The 23602-nt window shown below is 39.7% G+C and overlaps 1 protein-coding gene and 1 pseudogene across 29 annotated transcripts in view, besides 1 other annotated feature; both read right to left on the bottom strand.

Moving 5' to 3' along the window:
* INPP5F (inositol polyphosphate-5-phosphatase F) overlaps window positions 1–23602 on the bottom strand; it is a 103098-nt gene that overhangs the window by 40013 nt on the left and 39483 nt on the right. For 22 of the 29 annotated variants that reach the window (NM_001441001.1, NM_001441011.1, NM_001441009.1 and 19 more), the window contains one exon: window positions 7364–7500. The exons of 3 other annotated variants lie outside the window; for them this stretch is intronic. In NM_001441001.1, coding sequence (NP_001427930.1) covers window positions 7364–7500 — 137 coding nt within the window. Of the gene's footprint in view, window positions 1–7363; window positions 7501–7892; window positions 8177–8947; window positions 9113–23399; window positions 23569–23602 lie in introns of those variants that run through there. 4 more of the 29 variants (NM_001441010.1, NM_001441013.1, XM_011539527.4 and 1 more) reach the window with 4 other exon arrangements.
* Window positions 2704–2998: a silencer, noted in NCBI's record as "tiled region #8600; HepG2 Repressive DNase unmatched - State 5:Enh, and K562 Repressive DNase unmatched - State 8:EnhW". NCBI's record gives its function as "represses a minimal TATA promoter and a strong SV40 promoter by Sharpr-MPRA in HepG2 and K562 cells {active_cell/tissue: HepG2 | K562}" and the evidence as "EXISTENCE:reporter gene assay evidence [ECO:0000049][PMID:27701403]".
* On the bottom strand, window positions 20593–20879 carry RN7SL846P (RNA, 7SL, cytoplasmic 846, pseudogene; annotated as a pseudogene).

Genomic DNA, 23602 nt, shown 5'->3' with positions numbered 1-23602 from the left:
TCCTGCCTCAGCCTCCCGAGTAGCTGGGATTACAGGCATGCACCACCATGCCTGACTAATATTGTGTTTTTAGTAGAGACACGGTTTCTCCATGTTGGTCAGGCTGGTCTCGAACTCCCAACCTCACATGATCTGCCCGCCTCGGCCTCCCGAAGTGCTGGGATTATAGGCGTGAGCCACTGCGCCCGGCCAACAAAATCATTCTTTAAGAGCACTCAAGCCAGCAAAAATTTCCCCCCAGGAATCTATCAAAGGTCCGCTATTTCAAGTAAATGTGCAACAGCACACCTAGTCTGCACCCAGGTTTTCCTCACTCAGAAAGACCGAGTCCATTGTTCTCTTCAAGGTTAGTTTCTGGGATTAGGACCTGGGCTCATCATTCACCCCTTTCCTTTGTCCCAACCTCTAATAGCCCCCTTCCTAGCACCTTGTGACATGTTTACACAAGTGAGAATCTTCTTTTAAATCCATTCCTCAAACATGGAATCCACTCTGAGAGCCAGCAGGGTACAGTGTCCCAGCCCAGGCACTGGAACTGTAAGGACTATAGTCTGATTGGGGCAGGTCAAGGAGTAAAGGCTCTGATGACACTGCTTAGGCCTCCTAACTCTCTCGGAATGAAAGAACACTCCCTGCTGTCTCTTCCTCTGGTCCCCATGACAACAATCTCTCGGGGTCCTTCCCCATCTCTGGCTGTTCCTTCTCAGTCTCCTTTGTGGGTGTATCTTTCTTCTCTAAAACTGATGGTATTCCCAGTGTTCTACCCTTAACTCTCTTCTCCGTCTTCATGCTCCATCTAGAAAATGTCACCTTCTTTCCTAATTTTAACTACTACTACCTTTGCTAACTCCACTCTTTTCCCCTAATCTCAAGACTGATGCATGTGACGTCTCCCCCACACTGAGACACACTAGACCCTCAGACTCAGCATCTCTAGAACTGCGCAACACCTGCTCCCCAAATATTGTTCCTTCTCTGGTATGCCCTATTTCAGGTAATGACTGCACCACCCACTGGATCATTTAAGCAAGAAACCTTGGAATCATCTTCCATCATTCTCCTTCTCTAAGTCTCTCCTATCAACCCCAACCACTTCATGCCCATTGCTATGGTGTTGATTCAGATCCCTATCTTTTGCCCAGACCAGTATTTCTTCATGGAAATGCTACTGGCATGGCACACAGGAGATGTTCTATGCAGGATTATCCAACTCAGTGCAGACACTCTAACAGCTCCCCTCATGATCTAGGGAGTTCCACCTGAGCACCAGGCCTCAAGTGCTAAGCATGGCCCCAGGATCCCATCTCCCATGAAGCCCTGTTAGTCCTCTTTACTGTGTAGGGGCCAAATTCCCACCTGCTACTGTCTGCTTCTAGATGCAGACCCAGAAAGGCCTCTGGCTTCAGTCTGATCTACTTTAAAAAATGCTTATTCTCTAAGCTTGGCATTTCCTTCCTTCCTGCCTGCCTGCCTGCCTTCCTCCCTTCCTCCTCCCCTTCCCCTCCCCCTTCCCTTTCCTTCCTTCTATCCTTTCCTTCCTTCCTTCTTTCCTTCTTTGAGACAGAGTCGCACTCTGTCACCCAAGCTAGAGTGCAATGGCGCGATCTCAGCTTGCTGCAACCTCCGCCTCCCAGATCCAAGCGGTTCTTCCACCTTAGCCTCCCGAGTAGCTGAGGCACATGCCATCATGCCTGGCTAAGTTTTGTATTTTTAGTAGAGACAGGGTTTCACCATGTTGGCCAGGCTGGTCTTGAACTCCTGACCTCAAGTTATCTGCTTGCCTCGGCCTCTCAAAGTGTTGGGATTACAGGCTTGAGCCACCACACCTGGTCTTTTCTATTTTTATTTCTTTTATCTACCCTCATCCTGGGCTTGAAACAGAGTTAATATAAGCCCATCATCCCTTAACTTCCTTATGTACAATTCCAAAATCCAAAAAACTCTAAAACCTGAAAGTGTATCTTTTAAGTTAAAAACTCATTTAATGGCAAAGCATGCCCTGAACTGATATGAAGATACTGATAATCATCACTTACCTCCCTTAGTATGAACATTCATACCATTGTTTAAGAAACATTAATGTGTTTTATCGTGGGGTAATGCTCCAGAACCACTTTAGAGGGTAGAAAATACAGGGAATAACCTTTTGAAAACCCCAAAAAACTTGAATTCTAAAACAAATATGGCCCCCCAAGAAGTTCAGATAAGGATTGTGGATCTGTATAACAAAGTTCAAACTCATGGAAACACCTTCACTGGAAGGTTTTCTCTGTCTCTTAAAAGTGATTTTTTCTAAATAAAAATCTAAAATTACTGGCCAGGTGCAGGGGCTCACACCTATAATCCCCAGCACTTTGGGAGGTAAAGGTAGGCAGATTGCTTAAGCCCAGGTATTCAAGACCAGCATGGGTAATATAGTGAGACCCCATCTCTTCAAAAAATAGAAAAAAAAAAAATTAGCAGGGGGTGGTGGCACATGCCTGTAATCCCAGCCACTTGGGGGGCTGAAGGCAGGATGATTGCGTCACTGCATTCCAGCCTGTGTGACAGAGCAAGACCCTGTCTCAAACAAATAAATGAGATTACTATAAATGCAAACATTTCCAGTGAGTATGTTAGAATCTGCTACACAGTTATCTTTAGAAAATAAAGTATAGAGCACTACCTTTCTGAAAAGGTTAAATTCAGTCCTGACAAAAAACAGGGATAGAGAAAATTACTTCTTAGGATTCCTTCCCAGTCCTAAGGTATTTTGTTTACACAGAGCCCCAGGGATTACAATGCATAGCACTGGCAACAGGATCACCTTCCCTTTTCCAGAGGCCCAGCCAGTTCTGTGTGGTATGTGGTTAGGTCCTTATCACAACTCTGAAACACGCGATCTCAAAAAGACAACACCACAGCCACAAGCTCCACAGCACTTCCCTAGTTTTTAAATTACGCTTGCAACTTACATCTTGTGACCGAGACTAAGGGTTGATGTTGCTGCTGCCATTTAAGAAAAGGGACATAAATAATTTTATGTGAAAAGCTGGTACCTACATCCATCTGAAGCTAAAATTTTAAACAGGTGTCTGATGGAAACTAAATACGGAAAATGATGCGGTTATCCATTAAGGCAATGAGATACGCAAATAAGATATGCAGACATGGAACATAAGCCTATATAACTTTAAAGGGTATTTTTTTTCTAAAGAAGCAACAACTAAGTCCTCATTGTTTAAACCATTACAGATTCTTCATACCCTTATACAGGTTTTTAATTTTTCTTTTTTAGAGACAGGGTCTCACTCCACCATCTAGGCTAGAGTGCTGTGGTGCAATCACAGCTCACTGCAGCCTCAAACTCCAGGACTCAAGTAATCCTCCTGCCTCAGCCTTCTGAGTACCTGTGACTACAGGTACACACAAATATGCCCAGCTAATTTTTAAATTTTTCATAGAGACAGGGTCTTGCTATGTGGCCCAGGCTGGTCTCGAACTCCTGGCCTTAAGCAATCCTCCCACCTCGGCCCCCTGCCAAAGTGCTGATATTACAGGCAAAGTCAGTCTCAGTCTCTCTCTCTCTCTCTCTCTCTCTCTCTCTCTCTCTCTCTCTCGAGCGGATCACAAGGTCAGGAGATCAAGACCATCTAACCAGGCTAACACAGTGAAACCCCATCTCTGCTAAAAATACAAAAAATGAGTCGGGTGTGGTGGCATGCACCTGTAGTCCCAGCTACTCGGGAGACTGAAGCAGGAGAATCGTTTGAACCCGGGAGGCGGAGGTTGCAGTGAGCCGAGATCGTGCCACTGCACTCCAGCCTGGGCGACAGAGCGAGGCTCCGTCTCCAAAAAAAAAAAAAAAACAGTCTGGCAGTTCCACAAAAGGTTAGATAGAGTTACCATATGACCCAGCAATTCCATTGCTAGGTACACACCCAAGAGAGATTAAAACAAATATACCACCAAGAACTTGTATGCAAAATGGCTTATAATAGCATTATTCATAATAGCTAAAAGGTGGAAACAACTCAAATGTCTACCAACTGATGAACAAATAAATAAAACATGACATACCCATACAAGGGATTATCTGGCAATAAAAAAGAATAAAGTACTGCTACACACTACAACTGGCATGAACCTTAAAAGCTATGCTAGGTGAAAGAAGTCCATCACAAAAGGCCACGTGGTGTATTATTCCGTTTCTATGAGATGTCCAGAATAGACAAATATTTACAGAGACAGAAAGGAGATTAGTGGTTGCATGGTGCTGGGGAGCTGGAGTTTGGGAGGAAGTGAGGAGTGGCTGCTAACGAAGACAGGGTTTTTTCGGGGGATGATGAAAGGTTCTAAAATTGATTGTGGTGATAACCACATGACTCTGAATACACTAAAAACCATTGACTTACATACTTTAAACGGGTGAACTGTAAGGTATTTGAATTATGGTATGTGAATTTTTTTTAACTGGCAAACAAATAAGGCATATATTTGCGATAAAAAGACAACAGAGGCAGAAAACTAGAAATTCTATTAATACCCGTCTCTGAAATAAGATTGCTTCTGCTCCAATTACAGAACACAGACTTAGGCTTTAGCAAATCTGGGAACAGTGACCACATTAAAGGATGCTGCTGGAATAAATGCAGATTATTCAAACTGATACACAGACATCCAAATCAGAAAGTCATACTAAGGAGAAATAAGTAGTTTTGTTTAACAAAGTCTTCCTATGTTCTTAAAAAAATAATAAGACTAGAGGGAAATATGTAAAAGTGCAAAACAGAGAAACTATTCTGAAACATGTGAAAGTAACACTGGTCCTCCAAAGAGCCTAGGCACAAATGGAAACACCCACCAAAACTCAGTAGAATATTGATAACAATTATTTCCAAGTGGAGGAATTTTTTTTCTTCTCTTTTACAATTTACTGTATAACCAAAAAACAATTTAAAAAGGATTAAGCTTCTAAAAACTCTTTTAAATTGAGTTATATGGAAATTGAAATAGATACCAAGATTTAAATTAACATGTTAAAAGATAATAAAGTTGTGATTTTCAACATGTGGTTCTTTGCCCTTCCTGTTGTTCACTGTTGCAAAGTTCCTTTACCATAAAACAGGATTAAAAGGAAAGAAAAAATGGCAAAAGTGTAAATTTCTAAAATTTTAATCTCTTGAGAGAAAGGTGTACCAAACTATTCACTGAGATAGGACCTGGAAATACTTTCTCTGTAGTTACTTTTACTCCCAATTAGCAAGAGTCGTTACGTATACTCAACTCTTAACGTGAACCACGATCTCGCTGGCCCTGAGAAGTACGGTAGTTTATACTGTACAGCCCAACAGCTGTAAAAATAATTATGTCAATGGAGGAAATCTCACTTCCTTTTTATTTGAATATAATCTCTTTCCCTTAGACTATCGAGAGAGAAAAAAGGGAAAGTATGAAGAATAAAGAAGCTCTTAAAGCTTTGATAATATTCACACTTTTGCCCTTAAAGACTCCATGTAAATGTTAGTTCCTAAAGCCATCTTGGTTTTTTCCCTTTTTATTGAATAGTCAGCTACTAGTCTCAAAAATGTTACAGATTGGTGGCCATGAAGGACATCAGAACACCTCCCTGAAAGGCCTAACAAAGGTCCCAACCTTTTCTGGATGATGTGTGACATTTAATTTCCGAAGAACTGGGAGTGCCAAATATGCAAATCATGACTGGCAGATGGATAAAGTGCTGGGCGGGCTGGTTCCCATCTCTAAATCAAACTGCCAGAGACCCCAGTCTTAGTGCTCAAACCTGAATGCCAGGCCAAAGGGGTGCCCACCCTCAAGGGAAAGGTCTGTGATAACAAGCCATCCTGATCTTTCAGTGTGTCAGCAAAACCATCCAAAAGACACTGCCAGCAAATTTACTGGCTTAGGAAACTAACAAAATTTTTGCTAGTCTGGCTGCTCTTCACCCAAAAAAAATGCAGACAAAAACTGCAAACATCTGCTTTTAATAGGCCTAATTGCCACCTAGGTTTTTTGTCTCTCGATCAGCAATAGTGAATAGTGTTCTAGCATAAGTACCAATAAAAGGAGAATTAAGAACTCCAAACTTTTTTCGATTCCTGTAACAAATAATTAATATCAGAGTCCACTTAAATTCATTTTGTTTCTTAAAATTCAATTGTCAAACTTCCAGTGACATTTGAAGCATAAAAATAGTTTTATTTTTACTTATTCTTAAGGCAATTTAACCCTGTCCCCAAAGTTCCTCCCCAAGAACTCTACATGGAAAAACATGTGTTGAGTTGTGGGGCAGTGTGTGCTTTGCTGTTACCTGATGTTCAGGTAACAGGGCGGCAGCTCAGCAGAATTATATAGGACCAGGCAGCCTGAGTCTAGATCCAGGCCCCACCTCTGCCAGCTGTGTGACTTAACCCTTGCCAGGCCTCCTTTATTTGTTTTTATTTTATTTTCTAAAATCCATTCACTCATTAATTTTTTTTTTCCACAAGACAAGGTCTGGCTATGTTGCCCAGGCTGGTCTCGAACCCCTCAGCTCAAGCAATCCTCCAGCCTCAGCCTGTCAAAGACAGGAGCCACCCACCTAGCCTCCTTTATTTGTAGTAATGTCTACCTCATAGGGGGGTCTTGGGGACTAAATATTATCATCTATGTAATACACAGGGCCCACCTGGCACATCACATAGTGAACAAAACAATCGGAGTGATGACAATTACTAGGCATCTAATTCCCATACTAAGAGCAAACAGGACATAAATGCTTTCATGGGTTACTTCTACTAGGAGGCAGCACCTTGTGGTAAAAAACACTAGCCCTAGACAATCTCATTATTCCATCCTTAAATCACTCTACTTGTGGACTTGAGCTCTTCTCTGGAAAATAAAGAGATTACATTAGATGAGTGACTGTCTTCCTTTTAAAAAACTTTCTTTGTAAATTTTAATAGAGTAATATATGCTTAGAAAATTTTCAAGAAATGCAGACAAAAGAGGATATAATAAGAGCTCTCCTTTTCTTAACTCACTCCTTTTCCCTAAGAAGTTTTCAAACTGTACTGTGCAGAGCCCTAGGGCACCCTGGAAACAGAAGGTGGCTTCCCAGGAGAGATCAAGTGGACAGAGCCCCAGGGATTCCCCCAACACTACTGCGACCACAGCAGCCCTGCCTTTATGTGTCTTCTACACTAGATTTCATGGATTTTGAGACAAGAGTTCCACTACTAAGTTGGAAAATCTTAGGATTAAATTATTTTAAAAACATTACCCAGCTCTAAAAATGTAAGTTTCTGGTCTACTGAACCAAATCCTCATATTTGCTATTACATTTATATCAGGTTTCCATATAATTTCCCTTTATTTCACCTACCTCTAGCTCAAGATCCTGAGGTTCCATTTCAGAAAGTGAGAGCACAGCAATTTTGGTAACTTTACAGACCTCATGGTCTCCTGGGAGTTTGCCCACCAATGCTTTCTGCCGAATTAGAATAAGCCACCATGGAAGATCTGAAAGAGGAGAGTCATAATAAAGTCTGGCGTTTTTAGAGTGCTACTGTTCTGACAAGTTGAAGGTGAATAACCTAACAATGATAACAAAAAAAAAAGTGTGCATCCAAAATAAACTTTTAAAGTAAAACATGTCACAAAGACATAAAATGACCCTTAAACATGTGAAAAGATGTTCAATCTCACTCATAATTAGAGAAATGTAAATTAAAACCAGTTGTGACACCATGCTCACCCATCAGATTGGGAACAATTAACAAGAATGACAACACATGTGCTGGCGAGACTGTGAGAAAACTCAAAACAGCTGTGCAGGTGAGAATACCGATGACAAACACAACTTTTCTGGAAGGAAATTTAGCAATACCTAACAATACAACAAATGCACTTACCTTTAATCAGTCCAGTGATCCCATCTTTGGGAATTTACCCTGAGGGTACACCTCAACAACCAAAGTATATACACTGAAGCCTATTTTATAATTACAATAAACACTGGAAACAGCCTAATGTCCAGATACAGGACAGTGGTTGAATAAACTATGGCACATCCATGCAATGGAGTACTATGCAGCTGTAAAAAAACAAAAAAGTATTCTATGAATTAATAAGGAAGGATTCCTGGATGCACTTAGTAGATAACCTGAATATATTATTAACATACAGCCATCCCTCGGTATCTGCAGGGGACTGGCTCCAGGACCCCCCGTGGATACCAAACTCCACGGATGCTCAAGTCTCTCATGTAAAATGGTGTAGTATTTGTATATAACCTATGCACATCCTCTCATATACTTGAAATAATCTCTAGATTGCTTACAATACCTGATATAATCTAAATGCTATGGTAAACAGTTTTTAAACTGTATTGTTTAAGCAATAATGATGAGAAAGAAAAGTCTATACATGTCCAGTACAGATGCAACCATCTTTTCCAAAAATTTTCCATGTGTGGTTGGTTAGATCCACAGACACAGAACTCAATGGATACACAGGGCCGACTGTACATAATAAGGCTATGTTATAATAACATAATAAATATATGTTTTGTTTTGTTTGAGACTGGGTCTCACTCTGTCACCCAGGCTAAAGTGCAGTGGTGCAATCTCAGCTCATGGCAGCCTCTGCCTCCTGGGCTCAAGCAAACCTCCCATCTCAGCCTCTAATGTAGCTGGGAACACAGGCATACACCACCATGCCCAGCTAATTTTTGTACTTTTTTTTAAGAGATGGGGTTTTGCCATGTTGCCCCAGCTGGTCTCAAACTGCTGGGCTCAAGCAATCTGCCAGCCTTGGCCTCTCAAAGTGCTGGGATTATAGGCATGAGCCACCGTGCCCAGCCAATAAAATATATTATTAAATCAAAGCATAAAAGAATACCTAGAGTGTACTACCCTTCATGTAAGGAAGAAAATATGAGGTGATATATATCTATACAGTCACATACCACATAATGATGTTTCAGTCAACGATGAGCTACATATGCAGTAATGGCCCCTTAAAATTATCATGGAGCTGAAAAATTCCTATCACGTAGTGACATCATAAATGTAGCATGACACATTTCACATTTGTGTGATTCTGGTATAAACCTACTGCACTGCTAGTGATAGAAAAGTATACAACATACAATTACATCTATACATAAGACTTGATAATAATAAATGACTGTTACTGGTTTACATATTTGCTATACTGTACTTTTTACCATTATTTTAGGTATACTCCTACTTATAAAAAAAGTTAAATAAGGGTAAAAAGAAAATATTTTTGCACAGCTGTACAATGTGTTTGTGTTTTAACCTAAGTGTTATTACAGAAGAGTCAAAAAGTTTTAAAACATTAAAAAGTTTATAAAGTAGAAAAGTTACAGTAAGCTAAGGTTAATTTAGTATTGAAGAAAGAACTTCTGGCAGGGCATGGAGGCTCATTCATGCCTGTAATTGCAGCACTTTGAGAGGTCAAAGTGGGAGGATTGCTTGAGCCCAGGACTTCAAGACCAGCCTGGGTAACATATGGAGACCTCGTTTCTACAAAAAATTAAAGAATTAGCCAGGAGTTGGGACACGCACCTGTAGTCCCAGCTACTCGGGAGGCTGAGGTAGGAGGATCGCTTAAGCCTGGGAGGTTGATGCTGCAATAAGCCATGGTCATGACACTGCACTCCAGCTTGGGTGACAAGGAAAGATCCCGTCTCATAAAAAAATAAAAATAAAAACCCAAAAAAATTTTTAAAAAAGAAAGAAAAGATTTTAAAGTCAGTGTCGCCTACATGTATGATGTTTATAAAGTCTATAGTAGTGTACGATAATGTCCTAGGCCTTCACATTCACTCACTGACTCATCCAGAGCAACTTCTGGTTCCGCAAGTTCCATTCATAGTAAATGCCCAATACAGGTGTACCATTCTTATCTTTCATACCATATCTTTTGTACAGTATTTTTACTGTACCATTTCTATGTTTAGATGAAATTGCCCAACAATGCATTTCTCATTAAGTGATGCATAACTATATGTATCCACCCATTTGTACAAAAACAAGAAGAGGAGAGAACCAGAAGTCAGTGAGATTAGTTATCTCCACAGAGTAGGTGGAAACGGGGTACAGAGAAGAGGGGGATGGGAATAGGATAAAAGAGATGAAGGGGAAATGACAATTCTCTGAGTATGCCCTGGCAAATGACTGGTCTCTGAGTAGAATTCTGACTCTTAGAACAACGGTAATGTTTCACATATCCGTTAAAATAAATAGTTCAAATCAACCAGAATGTGGGAGAACCTCAAACTGCAAATCCAACTCTATTAAAAATTAAGAATAGAACTAAACTGTAGGAGATAGAGAAGAAAAAACTAACTGAACTAACTTCAGAAAACTATTTGGTAAAAATAAAGACAAAAAGAACCGTATGCACTACTGTACTCTGGTTACTAAATTTATTTTTCAGAAGAGTATGGGTTGGTAATTCTCCAACTACTTTGTGTGTACACTAGGATTGAACAGAGAACTAAATATAATGAGGAGAATGGAGGGAAAATGGCAAAACAACCTAAAGAAACCTTTAATAAACACAAGACAGAAAGAAGCAAACACCCAGTCTTTCCAATCCAAATTTCTACTTCTCACAAGAGATTTTTAATTAAACAAAAAATAGTCTATGAAAGACAGCATGCAAATCAATTTTTCAGTTTATGAGACTACACCATTAAAAAGTACTCCCCAATTAGACCCCAAACCAAAAATTATTGAAATTGTGTTTCAGGAATTTATTATAGAAAAATAACACCATATATTTCCCATATAAAACAATTTTTTTAAAGGATATATAGGCTGGGTGCAGTGGCTCACACCTATAATCCTAGCACTTTGGGAGGCCAGGGAGGGCAGATCACATGAGGCCAGGAGTTCAAGACCAGCCTGGCCAACATGGCAAAATTCTGTCTCTACTAAAAATAACAAAAATTAGCCGGGCATGGTGGTGCACGTATGTAATCCCAGCTACTCGGGAGGCTGAGGCATGAGAATTGCTTGAACTTGGGAGGCAGAGGTTGCAGTGAGCCGAGACGGCACCACTGAACTCCAGCCTGGGCAAGAGAGTGAGACCCTGCCTCAAAAATAAATAAATAAATAATAAAAATAAAAAGGATATATAATATTTTCATTTCCCTCATTTATTCCCCAAGTACTGATCAACTTTCATTTTAGAAATGGTGCTTTGGAGATATGCTTTAAGCGTTTCATAAATGCAGAAGTTTGGAAACATTTCATAATTCCTTATAAAGTAGGGTGGAAATTTACTCCAAAGTTTTAAGGCTTTTATAGGCCATTTCCCTATTATCATTAAACATTAACTGAAGACCTACCATGTGCTAGGAAATTCATCAGGCATGAATGGACATTACCAAGCATCTTGTAGGTGTTATGTGAAACATTACCCTTTAGGTGCTTGGTAACAAACCTAACATGTAAATCTTCTTAAAAAGCACATAACAGATAATAAACTGTTCAATGTCAATAAATTTTGTTGAATAAAAAGAAATCTTTACACTAGGTCTCTTAACATCACAGGAATAATTTCTAACTTATATTATTTTATTTATTTATTTATTTTGAGACAGAGTCTCGTGCTGTTGCCAGGCTGCAGTGCGGTGGCGCAATCTCGGCTTACTGCAACCTCTGCCTCCCAGGTTTAAGCAGTTCTCCTGTCTCAGCCTCCCAAGTGGCTGGGACTACAGGCGCCCGCCACCACGCCTGGCTAATTTTTGTGGGTTTTTTTGTTGTTGTTATTTTAGTAGGGACGGGATTTCACCATATTGGCCAGGCTGGTCTCGAACTCCTGACCTTGTGATGCGCCCGACTTGGCCTCTCAAACTGCTTGGGATTACAGGTGTGCACCACTGCGCCCGGCCATTTCTATCCTACAGTGAACAATTTAGAGTTGGGCCAGGCATGGTGGGTCATCCCTGTAATCCCAGCACTTTGGGGGGCTGAGAAGGGAGGATCACTCAAGGCCAGGAGTTCAAAAACAGCCTGGCAACACAGCAAGGCACCAGCCCTTTAAAAATTGTTTTTAAAAATTAGCTGAGGCCAGGTGCGGTGGCTCATGCCTGAAATCCCAGCACTCTGGGAAGCTGAGGTGGGTGGATCGCTTAAGCCCAGAAGTTTGAAACCAGCCTGGGCAACATGGCGAAACCCCATCTCTGCAAAAGATACACAAGTTATCTGGGCATGGTGGTACATGCCTGTAGTCTCAGCTACTCAGGAGGCTGAGGTGGGAGGATCATTTGAGCCCAGGAGTTCAAGGCTGCAGTGAGCTATGACTGGATCACTGTACTCCAGCCTGGATGACAGAGCAAGACTATGTCTCTAAAAAAAAAATAAACAAGAAATCTTTATGACTCAAGGACCTCTCTTTCTCTCTCTCTCTGTGGGTCACACACACACACACAAACACACATACACACACACACACAGAGGAAGGCCCTTCCTAGTTTACATCTTCTTGCCCTGATTTGCTCTGGATTCATTTCATATCGACATTACAAATTATGATTTTAATAAATTCAATAACAAAAATACAATGTACATTATCAAATATAGTATCTTTCCAATAAACCATCTAAAGGTATAGTACCAAAAATATAAAATTTTTAACTTTCAAACACAGGTTTTATCTCATATACAAACTCACCTGGAAAACCAAGAGGCATCTTTTTTCCCACAAAAACATGGTATTGCCAATACTTAAACTCAACTTACACATTCAAATATATTTTAAAATAAATACACATTTTTTTAGAGTTAACTACTCATATACAAAAATGTGAAAAATCTATGTGCTTCTTTTTAAAAGGTTACAGATATTCAATATGCCTTGCAGTTATGATGAAGATTAAATCTGAGAAAATATAATGTAACAGAAACAAAGCTTTGTCAATAGTAGCCTTCCTTTTTCAAGGAGGCTTCAAGTGTCCTAGACTTTGAGGTCAGAAATTGGACTCAAATTTTAGCTCCATCATTTGCTTCTTGTATACTTCAAAGCATAATACTTAGCTGCTCCAATTCTCAGTTTTCTCATATGAAAACTGGGATAAAGCTGCCTACTTCAGAGAATGGCTATGAGGATTAACAATTTGTATAATTCATGATGCTATTCCTAAGAATTAATGTTTACTGAACATCTACTATAAGTATCACCAGGCAATTTATGTCTATATTTTTAATACCACTACACCCTGCTAACAGATTCCATTTCCAATCTATAGTTGAAAAACTAAGAAACATTCAAATAATGTGCCCCAGGCTTGCAACTGGCCGATAGGATTTTTTTTAAACTTCCCTTTTAGACATCTTCAAACATACATAAAAGTAGAGAGAGCAATATAATCAAACCAAATCCACCCACCACTTAGGCCCAACAGTTATCAATGAATGACTCAGTCTTCTATGATGTTCAACTTTTTTTTTTTCCAATGACTCTGTACTTGTCTTTAAAAGAATTCCAAATCTAGAAAGTAAAGAAGAAACCCCATGGGCTTTGGGTTAAAAACCTGAGTTAGAATTCTATTTGAGGCTGGGCACCATGGCCCATGCTTGTAATCCCAGCACTCTGGGAGGCCAAAGCAGGTGGATCACTTCAGCCCAGGAGTTCAAGACCAGCCTGGGCAATATGGGGAAACCCTGTCTCTACAAAAAAAACCATTTAAAAATTAGCCAAGCATAGTGGAGCAACCCTGTAGTTCCAGCTACTCAGGAGGCTGACAGTAGAAGGATCACCTGAGCCGAGAGAGGTCGAGGCTGCAGTGAGCCATGATCACACCACTGCACTCCAGCCTGGGCAACAGAATGAGAGATGCTGCCTCAAAAAAAGAAAAAAGAATTATATTTGATAATCCAGTTTCTTCCAGAAATAAATGGCAAAAAAAATTTTAGATTCTAGTATAATCAAATATATAAAATTTTTCTTTGATTGATTTTTCCCCCTAAGGAAACCTAAAGAGAATCTGAGTGAAGAAAAATTCCAACCACCTATCATCATACCATTTTCCAAAGAAGAGAGAAATTAAGGTAGAGAACTTAGATTATGACGTGTAGATATCTATTTCCTTACAAATTTTACTTAGTTTAGTTTTTTTTATTTTTTGATCTATGTGTTAGACTGAAACAGTGAGGAAAAAAACTAACATCGAGCCTTTACTATATGCTGTATATTTTTCATTTGCTAAACCTCAGCCTCATGGAAAAAGCGTGGACTCTAGATGTAATATAAAAGGTTAAAAACTAACTATACATATTGTAAGGAAATGGAATATTATATATTTAGCAGTTTTTCAGACCTTGAGAAACCAATAATATATTAATAGATGGGAGTCCACTGATGTGGCCACATATAAATAAAAACATACAAAAAAGCATTAATATAGGCCACTTGCATATGTAATAGAAAAAAGGTATCATAACATTAGCAACAGGAGCAATAAAGTTTCTGGGACTAATTCCAATTAAGAAATGTCTAGGTCGGGAGTGGTACTTCCAGCACTTTGGGAGGCCAAGGCAGAGGGATTGCTTGAGCCCAGGGGTTCAAGATCAGCCTGGGCAAAATAGCCAGGCCCAGTCTCAAGAAAGAAAGAAAAAAAAAAACAAAACGAACAAACAAATGAATAAAAGAAAGGTCTAATATCTACATGAAAAGCACCACAGAACTTTCATTTAGAGCATACAGAAAATAAATACATGAAAGCACCATGAGCCTGGATGCACAGGTTCAACATTTCAAACTTGTTGGTATCTCTCAAATTAATATAGAAATTTAATGCAATTTCAATCAAAATTCTTATGGGACTTCTAGGGAGTTTTTTTTTTTTTTTTTTTTTTGGAGACTGAGTCTCCCTCTGTCGCCAGGCTGGAGTACAGTGGCGTGATCTCAGCTCACTGCAACTTCTGCCTCCCGGGTTCAAGCAATTCTCCCTCCTCAGCCTCCCGAGTAGCTGAGACTACAGGCGCACGCCACCATGCCTAGCTAATTTTTTTATTTTTAGTAGAGACGGGGTTTCACCATGTAGCCAGGACGGTCTCTATCTCTTGACCTTGTGATCTGCCCACCTTGGCCTCCCAAAGTGCTGGGATTATAGGCATGAGCCACTGAGCCCGGCCAGGAAATTTAAATATATTTTAAATTTCACTTGAAAGACTAAATGCGTAAAAATATCCAGTAAAGATTTTGAAAAGAAATTGAGACTACTTGTCTTCCTAGGCAGAACTATGGTAACACCAGGCGTGGTGGCCTGCACCTGTAATTCCAGCTACTTTGGAGGCTGAGGCAAGAGGACTGATTGAGCTCAGAAGTTCAAGAAGTTGTCAGTGAGCTACGATTCCATCACTGTACTCCAGCATGGGGGACAGAGTGAAACCCAACATTGGAGACAGAGCAAGAGGGGGATTTAAAAAAGCATGGTAATTAAAACTTGATACTAGGTAAAGGAAAAGATAAATGAATCACTAGAATAGAGAAGCCAGACACGACCTATGTAAAAATGAGCATCTCATAAATGATGATAAAGAAGGGAAAAGAATGGTGTCTCAATAAATGGAAACAATAAACACTGGAGATTCCGAAACGGGGGATAGTGGGAAGGAAGCAAGGGTTAGAAAACCGTCTATTGGGTAGTATGTTCACTATTTGAGTGACGGGATCAACAGAAGACCAAACCTCAGCATCATGCAATATACTCATGTAACAAACCTGCAGATGTCGCCCCGAAACTAAAATTTGAAAAACAGGCTGGGAGAGGTGGCTTATGTCTGTAATCCCAGCACTTTGGGAGGCCAGGGTGGGTGGACTGCTTGAGTCCAGGAGTTTGAGCCTAGCCTGGGCAACACAGCAAGACCCTGTCTCTACAAAAAATACAAAAATTAGCAGGGCATGGTGGCACACATCTGTAGTCCCAGCTACTCAGGAGGCTGACATGGGAGAATTGCATGACCCCAGGAGGCGAAGGTTGCAGTAAGCTGAATTCAAGCCACTGCACTCCATCCTGGGCAACAGAGTAAGACACTATTTCAAAAAAGATAATAATTTTTAAAAATTAGGCTGGGCGCAGTGGCTCACACCTGTAATCTCAGCACTTTGGGAGGCCAAGGCAAGCGGATCACGAGGTCATGAATTCAAGACCATCCTGGCCAACACAGTGAAACCCCATCTCTATTAAAAATACAAAAATTAGCTGGGCATGGTGGTGCGTGCCTATAATCCCAGCTACTCAGGAGGCTGAGGCAGGAGAATTGCTTGAACCGGGACCCGGGAGGTGGAGGTTGCGGTGAGCCAAGATTGCGCCACTGCACTCCAGCCTGGGCTACAGAGCGAGATTCCATCTCAAAAAAAAAAATTAAAACAATGTTGAAATAATTGGTTCTCCACACGAAAAAAAAGTTAAATTCCCACTGCAAGCCATGCCCCCCAATTAATTGTAGATGAGCTAATTGCTAAAAATAAAAGCAAAACAAAATATAGCAGATTCTTTATCATCTCAGAGCAGAAGGACCTTCGGAAGCATGATACATAATCCAGAAGTCATAAAATGAACAGGCTTGATTCCATTAAAAATGAAACATATCTGGGTGGTAAATCACACTATGAACAAAATGAAAAGCAAATGACAAACAGGAAATTATTTGCAACACATGGCATGCTAAAGGTTAGTATTTACGAAATAGAAAGAGCTGTATCAATCAACAAGAAAAAGGTAATAGGTTTTCCTCTCGGTAATTTTCCATCCACAGATTCCTACCACACTCTTTTGCTGTAAATCCCCACTTGTCCTTACTATATCTGGAATTGAGCACAATCCTGGACTGAGGTTTCTTTTCCCCTTGTGCAACAGTTCCTCAATAAAATCTGTAGAAAAGAAAAAGGTAATGTCCCCAAAGTAAAAAAAGATAGGTCAGGTGCAGTGGCTCACACCTGTAATCCCAGCACTTTGGGAGGCCGAGGTAGGCAGATCACGAGGTCAGGAGATCCAGACCATCCTGGCTAACATGGTGAAACCCTGTCTCTACTAAAAAATACAAAAAATTAGCCCGGCGTGGTGGCGGGCACCCGTAGTCCCAGCTACTCGGGAGGCTGAGGCAGGAGAATGGCGTGTGAACCCGGGAGATGGAGCTTGCAGTGAGCCGAGATCGCGCCACTGCACTCCAGCCTGAGCAACAGAGTGAGACTCCATCTCAAAAAAAAAAAAAAAAAAAAAAAAAAAAAAATATATATATATATATATATATATATATATATATATATCTCCATACTTTATGGAGTATGGATGATAAACATTAAAAATATAATTAAGCTCAGCAATAATGAAATAAAATAGGAAGATCACTTTGTATCAGACTGTCAAAAAGAAATCTCTTTGTTAAAAGTAATACTTAGTGTTGGAGATGCATCAAAATTCAAACTGTGTACATGCTTTATCCAATCTGTTCCTCTCCTAGAAATGTAGTCTATACACTTGGGAAGGCTGGGAAAATGAAGACTATAAGCATAATAATTGTATTTGTTTGTAAATGCATAAAGAAACTCTCAGAGGATTCACAATAAACTAATGATGGTGCTAGGTTGGATGAAGCAGTGGAAATAGGGCAGATAGGGACAGAGGAGTGAGGGAGGCTTCGCTGAATACCTTTTACTACTATTTACATTGTTGTTAAACCACGCACTTGTACTACCTAAAAATTTAAATTAAAAAAAAAAGCTCCTTCTGCGGAAACAACCCAAACATCCATCAAGGGATGAAGGAACAGACAAAACATAGTCTATCTATACAAGGGAATATTATTCAGCTATAAAGGAATGAAGTGCTGATACATGTTTCAACATGGACAATCCTTAAAAACATTGTGCTAAGTGAAAAAAAACAATCACAAAGGTGCACATATTGTATGATTTCATTTATGTGAAATATTGAGAACAGGAAAATCCCTAGAGACAGAAGGTAGATTAGGAGCTGAGGTTAGTGGTTGCCAGGAGCTGGTGTAGGGGTAATGAGAAATAACTGGCCATCTGAGAGGTTTCATTCTTGGATGCCGAAAATGTTCTGGAATTAGAGAGTGGTAAATGTTGCGTAACCTTGCAAATCTACTAAAAACCACTTAACTGCACACTTTAAAAGGGTTAATTTTATGGTATGTAAATTAAATCTCAAGTTTTTTATTTATTTATTTATTTTCAAAAAAATCTCCTTCTGAAGAACAAAAGAACTTGTTAGGAGTCTTAAGAAGAGGATAAAAAACTAAAAGTATACTTTCTGCCAAAAATGGAGGTTAGGATAGGACAGCCTATAATTCTTGAAATGTATCAACACTAGTGAAAAGATGTAGGTGTCTGGAATAGTGTTCAAGGAAATAATCAAAATTATCACAATGAAAAGAAAAATTATGAACTGAACACTGAGCTATTTCCAAGCAAAAACACTCACTCTAGAAAATAAAACAAACAAAAGAAGACCTCACAGAAAATAATAGCAATCTCTACTCCTGTAATTATTTTGCCTTAGGTGAAACAAAATACACCACCACTGCCACATAAAAAGCCTGAGATGTCCGGCAGGAATGTGCATATTGAGCTACAGGGTTAAATGATTTCTACATTTTATACTTAGAATTAAAACAAGACAAATGTAAAAGTACAGCGTCACTATTGTTTGGCAATCCTATTATCCATCAGGCCTAATTTCACAGTACAATTTTTAAAAGCACCAAAGCAGGCTATGTATTTATTTGTTACCCACCAGGAAAAGAAACTTGGTTCAATTAAAGCTACCATTTTGAGATCAGGATATACACAGTATAACAAGGAATAAAAAAAATAGAATCTAGCAAGGTCTGATGGCATAAAGATTTCTTTCCAACTTTTTAAACATATTACAATGGGGGAAAAAGTCAATTTTGTAACCGTGCCTCTTCCTGGAAAAGAGAGACAAGGAAACCTGACTTCCCCAGCAAGATAAAAAAAACTGATTAGGAAGTGATTATCTTGAAAAGCATGACCAGTAGGGCAAGCTAAAACAATAGTCCTGGAAAAGATTCAATTGCTTGACTTAGAAAGTGACTCACTTAAAAGGAGATGAGCAACTGTAGGATAAAGATTTTCATACCACTTTAGAAAAAAAAATTTTTCTCCTGCATTACGGTTCTCTAGAGAAACAGAACTAAGAGGATATATAAATGAGAGGAGATTTATTATTGGAATTGCTCATGTGACTATAGAAGCCAAAAAGTCCCACAATCTGCCATCTGCAAGCTGGAGAACCAGAAAAGCCTGTGGTGTAATTCAGTCCAAGTCCAGGGGAGTCAATGGTAAAAGTCCCAGTCCAAGTCCGAAGGCCTGAGAACTGGGAGGCTGATGGTTTAAGCCCCAATCTGAGTCCGAAAGCTTGAGAACCAGGAGCTCTGATGTCCAAGAGCAGGAGAAGATGGATGCCCTGGCTCAAACACAGTGAATTCATACTTCCTTTTTGCTTCTGTTCCGGCCCTCAACAGACGGGATGATGCTCACCTACACTGATAAGAATGGGTCTTCTTTACTCGGTCCACCAACTCAAAACGCCAAGTATCTTCTGGAAACACCCTCACACACATGACCAGAAATCATTTTGTACCAGCTTTCTGGGCATCCCTTCCCAGTCAAGTTAACACAAAAAATTAAACATCACTGCCAGATCCGGTGGTGTGTGCCTGCAGTCCCAGCTACTCAGGAGGCTGAGGTAGGAGCATCACTGGAGCTCAGGAGTTTGAGACCAGCCTGGGCAGCATAGTGAGACACTGTCTCAAAAAGTAAATAAATATAAATAAAATTTTTAAAATTAACCGACTCCCTACTCATGACCTTGCCTCTAAGGGGTACTGCAACTACGTATTTCTAGACATGGCTCACCATCCTATTGACATACAGAAAAGATATACATTTAATCCACCAATGCATGTCCAGCAATCATTTTTATTTTTATTAACATTATATAGGGAATATATTAATATATCCCATTTTTTGAAAGTTTAAACATTACAGATAAAACTGAAGTTCTCTTTGACCACTATTCCCCACTCCATGGAAATTCTTTAAACCTAATCCAAACCCTGCTTTCTTAGTTCTCTCACATAAGGAGAACAGGAGAAATGGAAAGTAACCAGTTACCATTCTTGGCACTAGTCCTTTTAATTTTACTTGAGAACTTAAAATGACTTATGTTCACAGCATACAACCATAATTTATTTTGTAGGTTCTATTTTCACCGCTCTTTTGGACACTTTCCAGTTTATCTCTATAAACATTCATGTGAGGAACAAGGGTAAAAAGGAAGAGAAGGTGCATTTACTAATGAGTCTCAGGTGTTTACTTCCTTTAGTATGCTCTAATACTGCACACTACATTCCTGAGGCAAAGATTACCTTTCCTAGGTCCACTGGAACAGTCACAGAGAGGCTGGGAAATGGTGAAACAGAGAGCACCCATCAGCCTGAACACTCACACGGTTGTGCAATTATGACTTGAGGAGCTAGCACAGGAGAATTCATAATTTTTTTCCTTTTCTTTCTCTCCCTTTTAAGAGACAGGATCTCATTATATTGGCCAGGCTGGAGTGCAGTGGCTATTCACAGGCACGACCCCACTACTGATCACAGCGTGGGAGTTCTGACCTGCTCCATTTCTGATCTGGGCCAGTTCACTCCTCCTCAGGCAACCTGGTCGTCTCCCCTCCCAAGAGGCTGCCGTATTTGATGTCAAACTTAGTGCAGACACCCAATCAGCATAGCTCACTCCAGCCCAGAACTCCTGGGCCCAAGTGATCCACCTTAGACCTCTACTAGCTGGGACTACAGGTATGTGCCACCACACTTGACAAGAATTTATAATTATACTGACATACCAACAAATATTAACCCAAAGACAGAGGTGCATACTATATACTCCAAAGTCTTTTGTAGCATAATATTTAAATACAAACATTTCTTGAAGGACTTCTGCAGATTATGCTCAAAACGCCACAGAAGAGTCTATATTTGCACTGGATACATCAGAGGATGGAGACATGTTGGTAAAGAAGGAAAAAGATAATCTGAAAAGGGGAAAAGTCTGCTCGCCTTTCCTTTCTTCTCTGTAACATTGCCAACAGGAATACTCACGTTCCTCTGTCATTTCAAATTGACAGTCTAAACTAAAAAATGTAAACCAAATGACTCGTTGCTTTTTATATATATTTATAGTTGGTTTTAAGGTTATACTTAGATGCATACAAATTTCAAACTATTCTTTCTGGTGACTTGAACATTTTGTTATTTTTGAAATGATTCTCTCTACTTCCTGCCTTAAAGTCTACTTTGATATTAGCACAGTGACACCAGTTTTCGTTAGGCTAATATTCACACAGTTTCTATGCTTTTACTTTCTGTATTCATATCTCTAAGGCATTTGTCTTGAAAGTAAGCATGTAGATGGATTTTATTGTTTTTCTAGTATAAACATCTTTGGTTTTTAATTGAAGCATTAAGTCTACTCATTTGTTATGTAATGTCTGACATATTTAGGAATCAAACTATCATCTTACTATTTGTCCCATTTGTTCCATACATACCTTTTCTTGCCTTCTTTTGGATTAAGTTTTTAAATCATTATTATTCTGCTTTTCTCCTTTATGAGCTTTTTACAATATTTTATTATTCTGTTAGTGGTTACACTGTAGGGGATAACATGAATCCTAATTTACAAAAGCCTAATGTAAATTTGTACTTTTCCAGCTGCTGGACAGTGAAAGGACTTAGAATACCAACTCCTCTAACTCCCCATTGTTACTACTATTGTTGTGTATTTTAATTCTACATTTAAAGTTAAGCCCCATGTATGATGACAAATTCACTTAAATTTACTATTTCCCCTTTCCATTGATCTTCATTTCTTCCTACCCCTCCATGCTCCCATCTGGAATCATTTTCCTTTTGCCTGAAAATCTCTCTAGGTTTTTTTTTTTTTTTTTTTTTTTTTTCTGGAGACAGAGTCTCACTCTGTTGCCCAGGCTGGAGTGCAGTGGCATGATCTCAGCTCACTGCAACCTCTGCCTCCCAGGTCCAAGGAATTCTCCTGCCTCAGCCTCCCAAGTAGCTGGGATTGCAGGCTCCCATCACCACGCCTGGCTAATTTTCATATTTTTAGTAGAGACAGTGTTTTACCATGTTGGACCAGGCTAGTCTTGAACTCCTGACCTCAGGTGATCTGCCAGCCTTGGCCTCCCAAAATCCTGGGATTACAGGTATGAGCCACTGTGCCCAGCCCTCTCTAGTATTTCTTTTAATGCAGAGACTGTTGGTGACAAATTCTCTGTTTTTATTTGTCTCAAAATGTCTTTATTTTTAATTTCTGAAGGTATAAAATTCTGGACAGGCACTTTGACGATGTCATTCCATTGTCTTCTGGCTTCCATTGTTTCTATCAATGCTTAACATGCCTTTGAATTTAATGTGTATTTTTTTCTTTGGCTGCTTTTAGGATATCCTCTTTGTCTTTACTTTTCATCAGTTTTACTATGAGGTAACTGAGTGTGGTTTTCTTTATGTTTTTTCCTTGGATTCAAAGTACTTCTTGAATCTGTGGCTTGTATTTATAGTTGGTTTTAGAAAATTCTTGGCCATTATCTCATCAAATACTGCTGTTGTCAGAAACAGAACCTCTGACTAGTTTTCTTGATCTCGTTTTTAAAGTGTATGAAATATCCGTAAATGACCCTGTGATGGTTAATTTTGTGGGTCAACTTGACTGGGAAGGGATGCCCAGATTGCTAGTAAAACATTATTTCTGAGGGTATTTCCAGAAGAGATTTGCATTTGAATTGGTAAACTGAATAAAGACTGCCCTCACCAATACAGGTGGGCATCATCCAATCCACTGAGGGCCAGAATAGAACAAAAAGGCAGAGGATGGGCTACCTTGCTCTCTAAGCTGGGACATCATCTTCTCCTGCCTGCAGACATCAGTGCTCCTGGTTATCAGGCCCTTGGATTCCAACTGAGACTTACATCACTGACTCCCCTGATTCTCAGTTTTTGGGCTTGGACTGGAACTATACCACCAGCTTTCCTGGTTCTCCAGATTGCAGATGGCAGCCTCCATAATCACATGAGCCAATCCCTTATAATAATTATCTTTAAATAACAGATCTCTGTAAGTAATAATTTCGGTATAGATGTTAAATCTCCGTCTCTCTCTCTCTCTCTCTATATATATATATATAGTATATAGTGTATACAGAGAGATTAATTAGTATTTATATATAGTATATAGTGTATATCTATATAGTATATATATACACTATACACACACACACACACACACACACACACACACACACACACACAGTTTACCCTTGAACAATGCAGGAGTTAGGGGTGCTGACTCCCCATGCACATGCAACTTTTGGCTGGGCACAGTGGCTCACACCCGTAATCCCAGCACTTTGGGAGGCCGAGATAGTTGGATGACCCGAGCTCAGGAGTTAGAAACCAGACTGGGCAACATAGCAAAACCCCATCTCTACAAAAAAAAAAAAAAAATACAAAAATTAGCC

The sequence above is a fragment of the Homo sapiens genome, chromosome 10 (assembly GCF_000001405.40).
Source record: "Homo sapiens chromosome 10, GRCh38.p14 Primary Assembly".
NCBI classification, from domain to species: domain Eukaryota; kingdom Metazoa; phylum Chordata; class Mammalia; order Primates; family Hominidae; genus Homo; species Homo sapiens.
The sequence above is the reverse complement of the archived record's forward strand: the minus strand, read 5'-3'. Positions and strand labels throughout refer to the sequence as shown.